This window comes from Homo sapiens, chromosome 5 (assembly GCF_000001405.40).
Source record: "Homo sapiens chromosome 5, GRCh38.p14 Primary Assembly".
NCBI lineage: Eukaryota > Metazoa > Chordata > Mammalia > Primates > Hominidae > Homo > Homo sapiens.
In genome coordinates, this window is record NC_000005.10 from 7,396,508 (window position 1) to 7,414,937 (window position 18,430).

At 41.0% G+C, this 18,430-nt stretch overlaps 1 protein-coding gene across 5 annotated transcripts in view; it reads left to right on the top strand.

Annotated features, from left to right (window-relative positions):
• ADCY2 (adenylate cyclase 2) overlaps positions 1-18,430 on the top strand; it is a 433,944-nt gene that overhangs the window by 370 nt on the left and 415,144 nt on the right. For all 5 annotated transcript variants that reach the window (NM_020546.3, XM_011513942.3, XM_047416645.1 and 2 more), the window contains exon 2: positions 18,066-18,263. In NM_020546.3, the coding sequence (NP_065433.2) occupies positions 18,066-18,263 (198 nt within the window). The remainder of the gene's footprint in view (positions 1-18,065; positions 18,264-18,430) is intronic.

Here is an 18,430-nt window from a genome sequence, read left to right on the forward strand (position 1 = left end):
TGAGTGGCCTCCCCGCGGGTCCAGCGCCGCGCCTTCCCCGGCCCTGAGAGGAGCCCGGCCAGCCGAGCCGCGTCCCGCTCCGGGCTGCCCCTCGGCCCGCGGCAGCCCCTCGGCCCGCGGCAGCCCCTCGGCCCGCGGCTCCCTGCTTCTCCTGCTGGCCCGCGGCCCGGTGGACTCTGGCAAGGGCTGCGGGCGGGAGAAAAGTTTCCTGGGAAGGCTCTTCCCAAAATAAAGTTCCCGAGGTGTTCACCAGGTGGACGGGCAGGGCGTGTGCTTTTTGCATCTTTGCGCACCCGCTGGCAAACTCTGCGCTTTCCGCCGGGCACCGCTGCCCGCAGCGCTGGAATAGGTCTTCCCCGACTCAGCCCTGGGCTTCCTGGGCGAGTCGCTGTCTCCTGCCCGGTTCCACTGGCATGGCCCCACAGTTGGCATTTTAGTTGGGATTGGGCGTTATTCAACTCTGCAGAAAGCCTGCCTTGGGAAAGTGGTTAATGACAAGGAAAATGAAGAAGAAAAATTAAGTATACATCTTTGCCTTTAAATCTGTATGCATTTAGCTCTTTAGCCCGATAGACGGAAAGTGATGTGGTGTTGACTTGTGAATCAATCTTTCATCTCAGAGACTACAGTTAAGAAGCGTTTGGGACGGACGATTGCTTTCCCGTTTCTAAAGAAGTAACGTGTTTAGGGTTTTGGACAGGTTATTAAAGTGGATTTCATCACGAGGAGTATAATGCAGCTCAACAGCTGATGTCAGTTTTGCCAGTTTATATTTTTCAAGCAGAAATCCTTGGCTCGCTCCCTTGAAAAGTGAGGGGAAGTCTGTAGATGGCGATAACTTCCTGTTACTGATCTCTGAGTGTGTGGTTCAAACTTTTGCACTGCCTGTGACATGCATGTGCAGATTTTGTGCGAGGCATTGATTATCCACCAGTGAGTTTTTTTTTTTTTTTTTTTTTTTTTTTTAGTCAGTGGTTGATCTGTGAATGTGTCCACTGGGTGATGTATTTTGAGCTTAGAATATAAATATGTGCCTATATTTATATGTGTCCACCACCAAAGAAGTGGATTTTGCTTATATTTCACCATGCATAAAATAGCTGTCCTTGGTATTTGGCAATTTGTTTAGGATGTCCGGAGCCAGATGGTGTTCAAATGTTATGCATGGGAAGAATTGTTACCATCATGTTTTTAAAAAATAAAAAAATTCCCCCACACCACTCAATGGTAGCTGTCTACTGATTGAGTTCAATGAGGTAAGAATAGAAATAGAATGTAGGAGGCCATGAAGTCACAGATCACACACTGGCTCTTGTACTATCAAACCTAGAGCAGAGAGTAACTTTTGATCCCTGTAGTCTAGATAGGAGTCCGGAGAAACCCTCACTCTCTCCACATGTAACCAGCCTTCTATGCTCTCTGGAATGGCATTTTTATCTCTCTTTACTACTTTTAGGAACAAAAAGGACTTGGGGAGAGACTTCTGCTCAGTCTCATGGGCAAGCAGGATCTCTAAAGTCATCTACTTATTATTTTTTACTTGCCAGGAAGAAAAGAAACATCAGAGTTTTCCTTTGGAAATCTGTTCTGCTGGGGCATTTCAGCTTGTGATTCTCTTGAACCTGTAATTCAAACCTGCTCTGGCTTGTTCTCTTCTAAATGGAAAGGAGCAGGTGATGACCTATTTATAGCAGCATTAATATATTTAAAGACAAGTGTGAAATTCATGCTTCCTCTGCACACACCACTTTGTTTTCTGTGATGGAGAATTCTAATTTCTTAAACCTCATTGATAGAGATTCTTGAATGGGTCACTCAGAGATTTAGCATTATTGGGCTTAAAGCACCCTTCTTTGAATTGTCTTTGTTCTTTGTATTTGTGTGTCTATATTCAATTCCTTTATGTTCCATTTTGCTTGGTGCATATGTGTTAGTGGTACCCTTTTCAAAGCGTTTTCCACGCATCTTTACTTTTCCTTGATAAATCAATCATTTTAATGCTCCTCTTGCCTTCAGCTAAATCATTTTAAGCACAAAGTGGGCATTTCCCACAGCATGGCTGTCACCTATGGTGAGGTCCAGAGACAGTGAAATGAATCCTGTCCTTGGCCATACCTAATTCATGGTCTCATGTCTACTATGTGCACCCTTCAAAGAGATAAGCTGTGCAGAAATGTTCCAGAATCAGGGAGGGTTACTCAGTCTGATAGAAAAGCCACCTTCAGGCAGAGACCAGCTGCAGGACCAAGTCGGAAGGAGCTATGCCTAGGAGAAATGTGCCCTGTGTTCTGAAACCGGACCTGAGTCGGGACTGGGATGATGTTGGGCTCCCAACAGCCTGTTTCTATTTTGATTTTAGAAACACCATAACCAGCATCTCTGCTTTCCAAAACACGTTCTCCATCCAGATAGTCAGCGATGGCTGGGGTAGGAACATTTGAAGGTAGAATAGGGCTAAGGTAAAGCTGTGTTCATGTAATTAGAGATGAGTTCATTTCTTGGGCTGGCAGGGCTTCGCTTCAGAGAGGTCTACCTTGGGAGGTGGGAATGGCTGCTTTGGGACCCTGCCAAGGTTTCCATGCTGGAGCACTTTACTTGAATAGCTGGGCTGTCATGCAATTCAGGAGCTAAGCAGATCTATTTTTGCTGCCTAAAATCTTGGACAGATTCCTTTTTTTCCCCCTGAATCTGCCTGATTTTGATTTCCATTAGACTTTCATCAGTTCTTATAGAAGTTTGGCAATCTGCTTAAAGCACATCCCTAGCCTCCTAGAGCATTTGGACTACAAAATGCTCTTAGCATAATGCAAGTACATAGAGATTTTTTTGCTGTATGTAATTGCCTTTGTAGAAGTGATTTGGAATACATACTAAAAAGAAAAAAGCAAGCTTCATTTTGATTTAATATTTCCCTAATTGATATTGTTCACAAAGTGATTTCATTTAATTTCAACCTTTGATCAATCCTTGATTCTGCATTGTTGGCCCTAAAGTTAAAGTAATCCTCAAAGTTTTATATGCTGTAAAAGTAAATTCTGAATTGAAACTTCACAGTCTTGGTTAATTTATTATTTTCTACATGAAAACTATTAAGTAGTTTTAATCCCATATTTGTGAAGAATTATTTGAAGACAGGAAACTCAGTAAATATAAAATTTGATGGCATGTCTTGAATTTAAATATTCTGTTTAATAATATGAGTAATAGTTTCTGCTGTTTATCATGGAGAGTATTCATGAAAAATCTGATTTATAATTTTTTCACCATCAGCTTGTTGAGTGCCTACCAAGTGCCAGGAATGGCAATAATGCTGGGCATGGGGAACAAAATAAAATTGACCCCTGGCATCAGAAAACTTAGAGCTAATGAAATGAAATTTTAAGTCATAAATCTTATCATGTCACTTGGTTTTTAATTTTTTTCTTTTTCTTTTTCTCATTTTTTTCTCTTTCTACTTTGTTTTTTGGAACTGGTTTTTATTACTGAATGCATGAAAACCCTTTTTCAGAATTTAATACTCTCATTTATTATATCCAAAATCAGCCAGCTGTTTTCAAAATTTGCCTGTCAGTGTTAAGAAAGGTTGACATAATTTTTTTTTATTTTGTCAGGATACCAGCTGGCTCCAGCCAGATTTGTTTTGGCTAAAACTTATGATTAGGAATAGTCAATATTTCAATATAAATGAAAAAATTTTATTCCATAATTTTAAGTAGTCAGAGAAATAAAGTAGATTTTTTTTAGTATGATACTGAAATAAGAGTATGCACTTTTATTAACTATAAATAGGTAATATATGTGACTGAGAATATGGCCCACCTTGTTTCTTTTATGGTGATGTAATGAGCTAGATATTTAAAACAATAACCAGAGGTATTTTTATGATGAATCAATGTTCCAGCATCAGATATTTTTTCGAAGGGCAGATTTATCAGAGAGGTTCTTTTGTGTGTACATAGAGAAAGAATCTTATTCTTCCAAAACAAATTAACATAGCTAATTATTTGTAGAGGCCAACCAACTTTATTATTCCAGACAATCTTTCAGCACCCCCAATAGGTGGAAGAATCACCTCCTTCCTTGGGGGTTGAAGGATGGGAGGGCAGACAAATGTGCCCAACATCCCCTCTAAGAAGCAGGAAATTCTGTGCATGCTTTCTCTAGTTTCCCTTGTGGAAGGGAATAGAGCATGTTCTCAGGTATTGCAGTAAAGGTAACTAAAGATTCATCTTTTTATGCATTTCTATACACGCAGGAAATCTTACTCTGCAGGTGCTTGTAATTTGCAACCAGTAATTCTCTAAGTCGTTTTAGTTATAATTTACTTGTGGTATAACAAAGGCCAAGGGAAAACTGTAATTTTCTGCAGGAAAGATGGTTGCAATTTAGAGGCCTAGCTAGAAAGGATTTGGAAGCATCCTTTGGATATTGAAATGTATGATTAAATATATACATGGCACCTTCCTTTCCCATTTTGAAAGGACAGTGGAGTGAAATGGTTGAGAGCATCTGCCTGTGTGGGAGTTGTGGCTTTGTCCATTTCCACTTCTGTGACCTTGGGAAAATTGTTTAACCTATGTCTCAGTTTCCTTGTTTGTAAAATGGCATGGTACCTGCCTTGTAAGCTGATGTCCTCAATTAGTACATGCAAAGCCCTTAGAACAATGCCTGGCATAAAGTAAGCCTCCAGGACTGTTAGCTGTTCCTAGGTCTTTGTAGCTGCATTTTCACTGTTACTGTGAGGGAATACTGTAGTCACATTGCATTAGAGCCAGAAAGGTGCTCATTCTACAGATGATGAAACTGAGACCCGGAGAAGTGAACTCATCTCTTCAAGGTCATGCAACTGCTACGCTGTCACAGGGTCACAGGGCATTTGACTTTCCCTGGGTGACTTTGCTAGAGAAGATTGAAGGTCTAGAATTCCCAGCGCTGGTCTTGGAAAATAGCAAGTTTTCTTGTTGAAATTTCTTACTGATATGAACAGCCTCAATCTTCATTCTGTGTAATGGAGTTACCTTTTAATGTTTTTCTCTTCCAGAGTTAAAGGAATTCAGTAGAGATGCTTCCTCATAATTAATTCACTGACGTGCTGGCATTATTTATTTTCATTATGCTAAATGTCCCCAGTGTCTTCCCCATCAAGTGGAGCCTCAAATGTGGCTGTGCTTTTGTTGTCTGAGAAGTCCTGGCATATGCACCATGGGTGTGAGAATCATTCCTATTAAGCCGTGATTCTTACTGATAATTTAAAACCGAATATTCTACTAAAAATGGAACAACACTGTTAGAGCTGCGATATTCCTGTGTTGAAGGTGTTTTGTGTGTGATATATTTCATGAGAAATTGTCAGTGACAGGAGAGTCTGAGCTGGATGTTGGGCATACTCCACTGGTATATGGGTTCTTCCTGCCACTTGATATTGACATCGAGACAATTCATTGAACCTGACTCATTTCTTCCTTCATTGAGTATTTAGAGCACCTGGGTTGGGGGTGCAAGCACTGTGATTGACATCACCCTGGATGGCAGTCCACCCTGAACTGGCTCACCCCTTGCATGTTGACATGATCCCTTAAATACTGGTGACTGCTCTAGGGCAAGCTATCATCATTATCATATCTAAGGACCACAAGAGCTGAGGGCATTCAACTCTGACCCTCTCCACTTTCTGGATCTTCCTGAGTGGCTCCCCTAATCTTAAAGTCTCTTCCACATCTCCGTGCCTTATATCCAAACGTTTGGGAGGACAGAAAAGGATTAAGTTAGCTCATGGGTTTGGTCCATTTGACAAAATTAAGCCAGTGCTAATTCTTCAGTCCTTTTTTGGTATAAGGATGCAATAAAAAATCACAAGGGAGAGGATGAAGAGAGGGTTAGGAGAAGACTTTGTTTGTTCAACTGTTTTTGGCAATGTTAGACATAGTTCCTTTGGTTCCCGCTTTTTGCTTCTGCTTATACTTCTGTCTCCAGGAGCCAGATGCAAGTGAGAGTCGGGTAGACACAGTAAGAAAAACCTCAACCGAAAAAACCATTGTGGGCTGCTTTACCAGCTAGTTTTCTGACTCTGCCTAGAGTTCTAGAACAATTGTGCCAAGACAAAGAGAATGAAAACACAGACCTGACCATGGCTCATAGAGATGTGTAAGGCAGATTGTATCTCAGAGTTGAACCAAGTCACTTCTGAAAAGCTTGGTGCTGGAAATGGGAAAGTTCAATTATAGGGCAATTAAAATATGTTGAGTAAATAATTTATTGCATTTGAAACATATAGACAGAAAGTATAATACAATCGTTTCATTTTAAAAGATTGTAATTCTGAAGATTTCTCAAGGTGGTCATTATTTTCTGGGAGAGTCCCGTGAATAAATCAGGTCTCTAGGGTCATCACCCCATAGAAAGTTCCTGGTAGAAAAGATGGCAGATCAGCACTATTGTAATGGGAGCCCTGCCTGCAAGATCTTGGAATTATGATTTCTACCCATTTATATCAATGTCCTTTGCTGTCTCTCAGACATGATGCTGGGGTATTGCAGCTAGGACAAGCCAGAGCTCAAAGGTGCTGGTTTTTATTCCTGTGTGCTTACTCCCAACACTGAATTATTTTTTGTGTGTGTATATGTGCGTGTGTGTGTTTTTAGTGTCCTGTATTTTTTTTTTAGGTATATAGAGAAAAAAAGAGCAAATAATTAAGATATCAAGTTACTAATGATCTGTGGTCATTATGAAAGAAATAAAATTGTAGACTAGTCCATTACTAGAACTAATTAAAATTATTAATGTTAAAAATTAAATACGGAGATCAGGTTAATGTGAATAAAACAGATAATGAGGAAATGTTAGCATAGTTCAGACATATGGTCAACCTAATGTCTGACTCTTTCCCATCATTGACTTGCAGTGCATTCAAATACACAACCTCCATGCTCTTTGGAATTGAATTTTAGGTGCATAAAATAGAATTACTCATTTGATTAATTCAATTAATATTTGATTCTCAGGCATAATCCTTATTAATCTCTATGTGGCTCATTTATAGTAAAATAAATTTTCATGAATTCATTTTGAACTAGAATATCTCTAGTTAGGAAATTTCTTTCTATATGCTCAACTAATTCCATTCTACTCTCTATCCTCAAATGTAAACTTCATATTGAAATTGGATTTTATCATTCTTTTACTTGTCTTTTTGTTCATTTTATCATATATAGACACATACACATAAATTATATATATGTGTGGTGTGTTATAGAAATTGAGATTCATTTACCTATTTTTTCCTTGTGGAGAATCAATTGCCACTGATCCATTTCAATTACTTTCTTCATATCTGTCATATATCAAAATTCTACATATGGTTGGCTGGTTATGGGCTGTTCTGCCCCATTGACTAAGTTTTTGTTTTGTTTTGTTTTTATCCTTTCAATGCTACACACACACACACACACACACACACACACACACACACAAAATTACTAAAGCGCTGTAATAAGTATTGTTGGTTGTGGGGACAGTGAAACTTCTGCTTCAGTGTCTTTGATAGTAGTAAGATTGTCTAGTATTTCTAATTTTATTTCTTGGGTCAGTTTCAATAAGTTGTTTTTCTAGGAATTTTTGCATTTCATCCAAATTCTCAAATTTAACTGCATGCTCATTTTGATAATATTGTTCTCCTTTTGATGTTTTCCATATGCTTTATTTTTGATTTTTATTTATAATATTGTTTTTATATGCCTTCATGTATAATCTCACCAGATGTCTTTTTAGCTTTTTCAAGAACCATCCCTCTTTGTTTATCTTATCCATTACTTCTTTTGTGTGTGTTTTTATCTTTATTATCTCCTGTTACGTCAGTCAGAACATATTAGATTATGTCATGGAAACAACTCCAAAGTCTTCCTGGATTAACACAACACAACAAATGTTTATATTTTGCTCAAGATACACGGTAAAGATGATTCAGTAGAGGGACTCTGCTGACAGTCCTGTCACTCAGGGTTTCAGGATGAAGGAGGGCACATCCCACAACACACTTCTTTCCTAATTGTTGCACCAAGGAGGAAAAGCTTGCTTCCATGTCTAACTACTGGCGATGAACACTTTCCACATGGAAGTGACACATCACTTTCATTCATTTTTTTATTGGCCAGAGTAAATGTTCTTAGTTGTCTTTGGTTGCCTTAAAAACCACCATAAAACTTAATGACTGGAAACACCACCATCATTTATTTTCCTCCTGAACCTGCAGTTTGGGCACATTTGCCAGTGGTGGCTCGTCCTTGCCCCATGCATCGGCTGGGGTGGTTTGAAGGCTGGGGCTTGCCTCCGTTGAAGGTTTGCTCACTTCCCTGTCTGGTGGTCATGCTGGCTTGCAACTGAGATTCAGCTGGCACTGCTGGCCAGAACACCTTCATGTGGCCTCTCTTCATGATTACTTGACTTTCTCTTGATATGGGATCTGGTTTCAAGAATGATCATCCTAAAAGAAAAAGATGGAATTGCATGACATTTTTATGACCCTGTCTCTCAAGTCAGGGAATTCTGCCATACTGTATTGATTGAGGCACCGTGAAGACCCTCTCAGGTGGGTGGTCAGTCTAAGGGGATAGAACCTAACTTGATGAAAGGAATGTCAAGCATACATGGGATGAAATGTAGATTGTCCCCACGTGTGGAAAATACCATCTGCTATGTTACCTTACATAGCCATGCCAAACTTTCATATGCCTGGAAGAAGGATGTATCAATTAACTTGTGCTGTGTAACAACCAAAAACTTAACAGATTTGAACTACTCTTTTTTTTTTTTTTTTTAGCTCATAATTATGTGGGTCAGGTCTTGGTTCTTCTGACCTAGGTTTCCCAGTTGATCTCTGCTGGTCTGTCTCATGTTTGTGTGCTCTACTGGCAGGTTAGTTAATCGCTGGATTACTCAAAATAGCTACATTTATGTGTGTGGACAGCTGGCAGGCTATCCACCATGGCTGTTGAGTGGGGTGCCAGGTCACTTGGCTGTCTCCTCTCATTTAGCAGGCTAGCCTGAGCTTCTTTGCATGGAGTTCAGGAGCTTGCAAAGAGCAAGAGGAAAGGGACAAGCCCTACTGCCCAAGTCTTTGTTCAAGTTATTGCTTGTGCCATGCACCTGCCATTAGATTGGCCAAATGGAGCCATGTGGCTAGAGCCAGACTCAGTGTAGGAGAGAATTACACATGGGCATGATACAGGGAAGGGGATTATTGGAGCCAATTTGGATTTTTAAAAAAGCTGTAACAGAAAAGCAAACTAGAATGCTGAGCAACCCTAATTACTACAGCAGTCCACCTACCTGGTCACCCAATATATAGTTTATTCCCATTTATTTATTTATTTAGAGACAGGGTCTTGCTCTGTCATCCAGGCTGGAGTGCTGTGGCACGATCTCAGTTCACTGCAACTTTGACCTCCCTGGGCTCAAGTTATCCTCCCATCTCAGCCTCCTGAGTAGCTGGGACGCAGGTGTGTGCCACCGTGCCCTACTAATTTTTTTTTTTTCTTGTAGAGATGGAGTTTTGCCATATTGCCCAGGCTGGTCTCAAACTCCTGGGCCCAAATGATCTACCCACCTCAGTCTCCCAAAGTGCTGGGATTACAGGCATCAGCCTCTGTGCCAGGCCAATTTATTCCCTTTTGAAGAAAATATACATACTCCCTTTTCAGGAGAGATGACCCTAAAGTCTTGTCTGTGAAGGGCAGTAAGCTCAGAATCTAGGATCTCTAAGGGAAGGGCACTCTTTTGTTCAAAGGGACCAATGAATGGTCTTTTCTCCATCAAGCCTGGGTGTGGCTTCTGTGATCTGGAGACCAGTGGTCTAAAAAGACTTGTTATCAGCCATCTACCCAGCCACCTCATATACCTAGGATAACCACAGTAAACCCTTCTGCTCTCCCAAAAGAAGGATGAAACTCATTGGCCCTTGGCTCACAGCAATTCCAAGTCCACCTGGGCAGGCAGGGTGAGGGTCCCTGGCCCAGAGACTAGAGATTGCTTCTTCATTACAACCAGACTCTTGTTTTAGGAGATAGTCCCCTTTTCTTCTGTTTTATGTGGCCTTTGAATCTTCCCCGGGAGGTCCTTCTTCTTTATTTACCATCCTCTTAGCTACATTTGAACTGAATATTTGGATATTCCCTTCTTGGGGGCTGAGTGACTTTCTCACCTCTTGTCTGCCATAAATAAGAAGGCACAGTTTCTCTTAAGTCTAGAACATCCATAGTTCAGGTTAGTTTTTTTTGAGGAACACAAATCTCTCAAAACTTATTCAACCTCGTAATGTCAATAGTCACAGCCAGAGTTCTTTTCAAGACATGCTTCTTGAAAGGTTTGCTATTTTTCTCTGCCTTCTCATGCTATGTCTGTCTCTCTCTCTTTCAGCTTCTATGTACTTTAAGCCTGTATGGGAAACACACTCTGAGTTTACTTTTCCCTGTGCCATTTTGTTCAGTTGAAATAATTTCCTGGCACCACACTCTTATTTAGAAGTTAACTTCAAGGCACCTTTATCCATTTGGTTTTCAACAATGGGTTATCTGAGGGTCGGATGAACTCCAACAGTGGTGGACGTCGCAGATTGCATGGTGACTGTGTGGCCCATTGTCAACGTTCAGACCATTCTAAGGTCTGGTAACAAGACAGCAATTTTTCCTTTCTCAAAAAGAAGAATAATTATCTCCACAGTTACTCAGAAGTCTTTGTAAGGCACTGGTTTGGGTGGAAAAGTCAGAACATTCAGGGAAATCTGAAGACAAACATGTTGTATTAGTCGTTTTCACACTGCTATAAAGAACGACCTGAGACTGGGTAATTTATCAAGGAAAGAGATTTAACTGACTCACAGTTCTGCATTGCTGGGGAAGCCTCAGGAAACTTACAATTGTGGCTGAAGGGGAAGGGGAAGGGGAAGCAAGGCATGTCTTCTTATGATGGCAGGAGAGAGAGAGAGAGAGCGAGCAATGGGGAACTGCCAAACACTTTTAAACCATCAGATTTGGGTGGGGACACACAGCCAAACCGTATCACATGTCTAGTCAGCCAAAGGGTGGCGAAAGGTGGTGCAGCTTGGTGAAAAGGTCGATGGGCATCTGTTGCTTCTGTGTAGCTGCTGACACTGTGCTTCAGCAGCCAGTGTCTGCTGGGCCCCCATTCATCAATGGCCACAAGTTGGGAAGAAGAGCAGGACATAGAGCCAGGGAGAGTGAGGATGTGCAGAAGCCGGCCTGGGACCCCGTGAGTGTCCATCGTCATGTCTGACCATGAAGACTTGCCTCACTGTTGCCTCAAAATTCTGGCACAGATTCTGGCACAAATTCCTTTCTCTTCAGTTCTTTTTTTTTTTTTTTTTTTGAGACAGAGTCTCGCTCTGTCGATCCAGCTGGAGTACAGTGGCACAATTTCGGCTCACTGAAACCTCCGCCTCCTGGGTTCAAGTGATTCTTGTGCCTCAGCCTCCCGAGTAGCTGGGTTTACAGGCATGTGCCACCATACTCAACTAATTTTTTGTATTTTTTTAGTAGAGACGGGGTTTCACCATGTTGGCCAGGATGGTCTTGATCTCCTGACCTCGTGATCTGCTCGCCTCAACCTCCTAAATGGGTGGGATTATAGGCATGAGCCACCGTGCCTGGCCCCTTCTGTTCAGTTCTAACCAAGAACTCTAGAGGGAAGGGGATTCTGGGAAAGGTAACAAGCAGCAAAACTGACACCTAAGCAACTCAGTTCAGTATTTGAACTTGTAATTTTCCCACCAGACACCACTGTTACCACGCACCACAAATGTTGATGTGCACTGTTTTCATTATTCTTTGAAAATTTACATTAGGTGGCTATTATTATTATTGTTATTTTGAGACAGTCTTGCTGTGTCACCCAGGCTGGCATACAGTGGCACAATCTCGGCTCACTGCAACCTCCGCCTCCCGAGTTCAAGCGATTCTGTTGCCTCAGCCTCCTGAGTAGCTGGGATTACAGGCATGTGCCACCATGCCTGGCTAATTTTTGCATTTTTAGTAGAGACGGGGTTTCATCATGTTGGCCAGCCTGGGCTCGAACTCCTGATCTTGGGTGATCTACCCACCGCAGCCTCTCAAAGTGCTGGGATTACAGGCGTGAGCCACCGTGCCTAGCCAGGTGGCTATTATTAAAAAGTAAAAAAGCAAAAAAACAAAAAACCAAAAACAAAAACAAAAAACAGATGCTGGTGAGGTTGTGGAGAGAAAGGAACACTTTTACACTCTTGGTGGAGTGTAAATTAGTTCAGGCATTGTGGGAGACAGCGTTACGATTCCTCAAAGACCTAAACACAGAAATACCATTGGACCCAGCAATCCCATTACTGGGTATATACCCAAAGGAATATAAATCATTCTATTATAAAGACACATTTATGTGAATATTCATTGCAGCAGCATTCACAACAGCAAAGACATGGAATCAACCTAAATGCCCATCAATGGTAGACTGGATAAAGAAAATGTGGTACATATACACCATGGAATACTATGCAGCCATGAAAAACAACAAGATCATGTCCATTGCAGGGACATAGATGGAGCTGGAGCCCATTATACTTAGCAAACTAATGTAGGAACAGGAAACCAAATACCGCATACTCTCACTTGTAAGTGGGAGCTAAATTATGAGAACACGTGGACACATAGAGGGGAACAACACACACTGAGGCCTATCTGAGGAGGGTGGAGGGTGGGAGGAGTGAGAGGATCAGGACAAATAACTAATGGGTACTAGGCTTAATACCTGGGTGATGAAATAATCTGTACAACAAACCCCCAGGATTCAAGTTTCTTCTGTATCAAATCTGCACAATTACCCCTGAACTTAAATGTTAAAAATAAAATAAAATAAAATTCACATTATGTTTTACTTTTCATTCTAAAGGTTATTCAGAATTGTGCTTTTTATCTTATATGTGGTAACTTTTAATTTACATTTTTGTGATGAACTTTTAAGATAAATTATGCTGTAATCAAAGAACATGGCTCTGTGTGATAACTCTTCTTTGAAATCTTTGGAGGTTGCCTGACACATGATTTTTATAAATATTCCACATGCACTTCAGAAGAATATTGTTCCACCTAATGGTTGCATGTGGAATTCTGTATTTTTCAATTAGGCCAAGATTACTAATTATGATGTTCAAATCCTTTAACATCTTTTCTTGTTTGCATTTTTATTTTATTTGCTTGGCCTATCAATAGCAAGATGGGGAGCTGAAATTGTCTGCTCTTAGTAGATTAGTTTACTTTTTTTCTCTGATTTTCTAAATTTTTGCTTTATACAGTTTGAGGCTATTTTATTAGTTTTATAGATGTTTAAAATTATTATAATTGCCTATTTATTCCTTTCACACCTCATGGTAAAATGGAGTATGACTATGTATGTAGATAAGAATAAAAATTGTCTATCTATTTATCTATATACATATGAAAAACTGTATCTCCACACATCCATTTGTAGTCAAATGTTTATCAAAGCTAAAGGCTGATTTCATTTTTCCTAGTAATTACTGTCATTTGTGGTACACCTGTGACATACCAAACACCCAGAAGCCACACCAAATCTGGATGACTGCATGTGAAGAAGCCGGCTGAGGGACATTCGACTTCTCCCACTGAAAAATCACAGCAGGAAGTGATGGAAATTGGTTTCTACCTTTGGTCTTGCTGACTTCAAAGTATTTCACTAAAATATAATTTTTTTAATTAAATAGAAAGGCAGTATTTTACATTAGACTGTCTTTTACCACCCTCATACAAAATAGTACTGTTCAAAAAAAAAAGAAAAAAGAAAAAGTACATTGAAAAGAAAGAAAATACAGACAAGCTGTTACTGCGTGGAAAAACATCTAAGAAACAAAGGAATTGTCACATAAGGAATAAAAGTGATGGGTATTTAATAGGCCTGGCAATTAGAAGCCATCTGAAATTACCGGAAAATGCATGGAAAATGAAGGGATAAAATGCTTAGAGTGGAAGGAACCCATAATCATCTCAGTGGATGATACCATAGTCAAAATCTCCTGCTTTAAAGGCATTTTCGTACATTTCATTTAGTATGCATTATATGGTAAATTTTATTTTACCTTGTTAAAGCCATTTTTAAAAAGACATTTTAGTATATTTTAGGTAATATTAAAAGGATTTTAGTACATTTTATTTAATTTGCATTATATGATATTTTTTTCCACAAAGGGAGGAGGGGTGAGGATACATAGGAATATTTAATTGAGATTGATGATGGTTTTAATGTTTTAGTTTGCTTATTTTAAGCTAGTCTGTCTGTTTTATATTCTAATGTTTGAAAACAACTCAATCAGAAGAACATGGCCTCGGGGTGTACCTTGCTGGCTTCCTTCCTTTCTCCATCTGCTGGGAGCTGGACAGGAGAGAGGAGAAGCTGTCATCCTAGGTCTGAGAGTGTCTCTTTATTCCATTGACTTAGCCTTAAGAAAAATGCATGATGCAGGCAGCGAGGCCAGGGAAGACTGTGGCCTGTAAGCTCGTACATCCTCTAGTGAATACTCTTCTGTTCTTCCCATGACACCCTCATGCAAGGTTCTCAAAACTCCTTCAGAGTTAGCATTCAAAGGCAGATACAGAACAAATTGGTGGCTGTTCTCTTCCTTGAAGAGTCTCTGTTTTTCAGTGGGCCCAGCTTTTGCAAAGGTTAGGGTCACAGGCCTCACAAGCAGCAGCTGACTGTCTCAAGCCGTTGGCCGTCAGAGCCTCTGGCTCACCCTCTGAGGTGGGGGTGTGTGGTCTGAGGATGACTCTCCTCCTCTGCTATGCAGAACCCACCTGCTAACGTCACCCATCTGGGGAGGGCAGGCACACCACCAGCCACTGAGGATCATGACCTAGATTAGGACTTCAGAGGTCAAAGTCCTCTTTATAGTTTGCAACTGCATTGTCATAAAGATGTATGTAATCTTTGACCCTAAGAGTTTGTGCTTTTTTGGCTGTTCTCATTTTGAAAGAAATTTAAACATTTTTGCAGGACTCTAAGAGGGCTGTAGGACCCAGACACTGTGCTCACTGTGATTAATGATGGAGAAGTCACCTGCAGCCCTGACAAATCACATCTCGGGGATCTGATTTTTAAAAAAGAGAGAGAAAAAATAGAGAGTTTACAATTTAGAACCAAAATCAAAATCAAGTCTTACATACTTTACCCAGAAAAATAAGACACTGGGTCTCTGTCTTGTTGACAGAGAGATCCTTTAAAAGAGAAGCACGGCCGGGCGCGGTGGCTCACGCCTGTAATCCCAGCACTTTGGGAGGCCGAGGCGGGCGGATCACGAGGTCAGGAGATCGAGACCATCCCGGCTAAAACGGTGAAACCCCGTCTCTACTAAAAATACAAAAAATTGGCCGGGCGTAGTGGCGGGCGCCTGTAGTCCCAGCTACTTGGGAGGCTGAGGCAGGAGAATGGCGTGAACCCAGGAGGCGGAGCTTGCAGTGAGCCGAGATCCCGCCACAGCACTCCAGCCTGGGCGACAGAGCGAGACTCCGTCTCAAAAAAAAAAAAGAGAAGCACGGGAAAGCTCTTACAGGTCATTCCGTTTCTTCTCTGCTTCCTGGAAGGACTATATCAGCATCTTCTTGTTCCCTGGTTCCCTGCTCTACTAATTGTCACTTTACAGTCATGCATATTTTTGCATGGTTTTTCAGTCTTTCTGGAGATCTAAGAGCCAGTAAAGTCAATGATTGTTTCACCCCTGCTGGGATAATGAAATGACTGGAAAAAAAAGTCATACTAGGAAATAGGTTTCCTGATTATTTACTGGTTAGTTTTCTGTCCACAGCTCAGTGAGGCTCATTTGGGGAGGTTTAAGTTAAATCAGTTTTCATGGCACCATGTGTGCAGTGGTCATAATCTCAGATTTGATGTCCTCAGATAACACGCTGTCATGTCCCACGTGTCCGTTTGTTCGTGGTGTCTGAGTGCCGGGGAGTGCTCGCAGCCTGGCAGACACCTAATACCCTTTTGCAGCAATTGTAAACTGTGTCTGAGGGTAAGAGTAATAACTTAGGCACTTAATCGTGGCTAAAAATAGCAGTGGAGGGAGAGAAAAAGAACATCTCATTTGATCTACTTGTTTTCTGCCAGTTCTGGAAACACACATTCTTTCGGCCACGGCAACAACTAGCCCCATTCGGTTGAGTTCACTGTCTGCTGCAGGACCACAGACCCACAGGCTATGCCTGGCTGGAGGCCTGTCTCACCCACCAGCTGGACAATCCATGGCAGCCCTTCTCTGTGCCTCAGTTTCGTCAGCTGTAGAATGGAACTAACACTAGTGCCCCCCATCCTGCCTGCCCCTACCAGGATGGTGGTTGTAAAGATTAAAGAGGTTAATATATGTAAGCCTGCTTAGCACAAGTAGCACTTACTAGCATTTACCATTCTTGTTGTTCCTCTTGCCTCTTTCCCAGGCATCATTTAACACACATAATTGTGGGAGAGAAAGGGAAACGATGTCAGTTAAGAGGGCTTGGATTCTGGCTTTTTCCCTCCTTGGGAACCAAGACTCCGTGTGGATTTTTGGCTGGTCTGCTCTGTTTCCCCATCTCCCTGTGCTTCGTTGCTTGGTATTTGCATGGAGCCATTTCCAGTGTGAAGTTAGAGCTGCCAGTGGGTGGAATGAACCTTGTGCCCACCTGTAAAGAATAGAGATCACCAGACAGACAGTCCCTTTGTAAGTCCCATATATGGTCCCAGCCTTGGGGTTTTTTTTTTCTTTTTTCTTTTTTGAGACGGAGTCTCGCTCTGGCGCCCAGGCTGGAGTGCAGTGGCGCGCTCACGGCTCACTGCAAGCTCCGCCTCCCAGGTTCACGCCATTCTCTGTCTCAGCCTCCGGAGTAGCTGGGACCACAGGCGCCTGCCACCACGCGCGGCTAATTTTTTTTTTTGTATTTTTAGTAGAGACTGGGTTTCACCGTGTTAGCCAGGATGGTCTCGATCTCCTGACCTTGTGATCTGCCCGCCTCGGCCTCCCAAAGTACTGGGATTACAGGCGTGAGCCACCGCACCCGGCCGGTTTTTTTTTTTAATAGAAGTGTCTGTGGATATTTCTGTTAACTACACATGTTTGGGTGAGGATTAAAGACCTTACACTGTATTCTGTTCCATAGTAAACGCTGTCCATAGCAAGCTTCCAGCATAATGTTTTGCAGAAGCTAAAGCCTAAGCCCAGGCTTGTGTAATCAAATGAAACATAATGTCTGTATGTGGAGTTGAACTTGTGTAGAATGGAAATAGTGGGTCTTTGTCATGTGGTAAGGAAGAGATAAATAAAAAAAAATTGTGTGTCAAAATAAATGTAAAGAAATACATTAGTAAGAAGTGAATAATAAATGCCCATTTTCTTTTTGCTTGTTTCTTTTTGCCATGTTTGTTATTTTATTTTCTCCATCTCTCTTGAGAGAGAAATAACAAACATGGCGCCCTCCTGTATGCATTTCCCGCTCCCTCACGTTCCATATTCAGCACTTTCTGACCCTTTTCTATTAACCTATGATCCCATCAAAACATTAATTGCCATGCATTAAAATAAAAGCTCATCACCATAAAAACAGATAATTTTGAAAGAAGTTTTTTAAATAAAACATTTAAAATCCATTTGCAAGATAGTTTTCTAAGGCCGGGGTTTTTCTGCTCCTCTGATTTAGGGAGAGAAGTTGGTTGTCTTATTTTCTCCTGGCATTAATGTGTTCTTACATTCACTTCTGAATAAAATCCATTTCTGCATTTATCAGGGAAGATGTAACTTTGATGAGATATTGTTTGTCCTATTTTAAATATCCAACATTGGATTATCTATTTAGAAAAACATGCTTATTTATTATGAAACTTGAATTTTAAATGTTCAAACTGTTCTACTTTCAAAACAATTTCTTAAACCCAATATATTCTGACATTGACAAGCGTTGATGACATTTTAACAACATAAATCATTGGTATCACAGTGTCTCTAAATGGTAACTTTTCCATGTATTTTTTTATCTCCTCAGGAAGTTGAAGACCATGTGGCGTTTCTAATAACAGTTCCAACTGCCCTGGCGATTTTCTTTGCGATATTTATCCTGGTCTGCATCGAGTCTGTGTTTAAGAAGCTGCTGCGCCTCTTCTCGTTGGTGATATGGATATGCCTTGTTGCCATGGGATACCTGTTCATGTGTTTTGGAGGCACCGTCTCTCCCTGGGACCAGGTAAGGTGTGAAAATATTTTTTGTACTTCTTTTATGTCTTGATTTGTGACATACTTAGTTCTGTAAACAACTTGGCCTTAAACTTTGAAGAGGAGTCCTATAACTGAGAGCAGAGTCTATTTTTTTCGATTTATATTGCTAAAATTTATTTTTAATCAACAAATTAT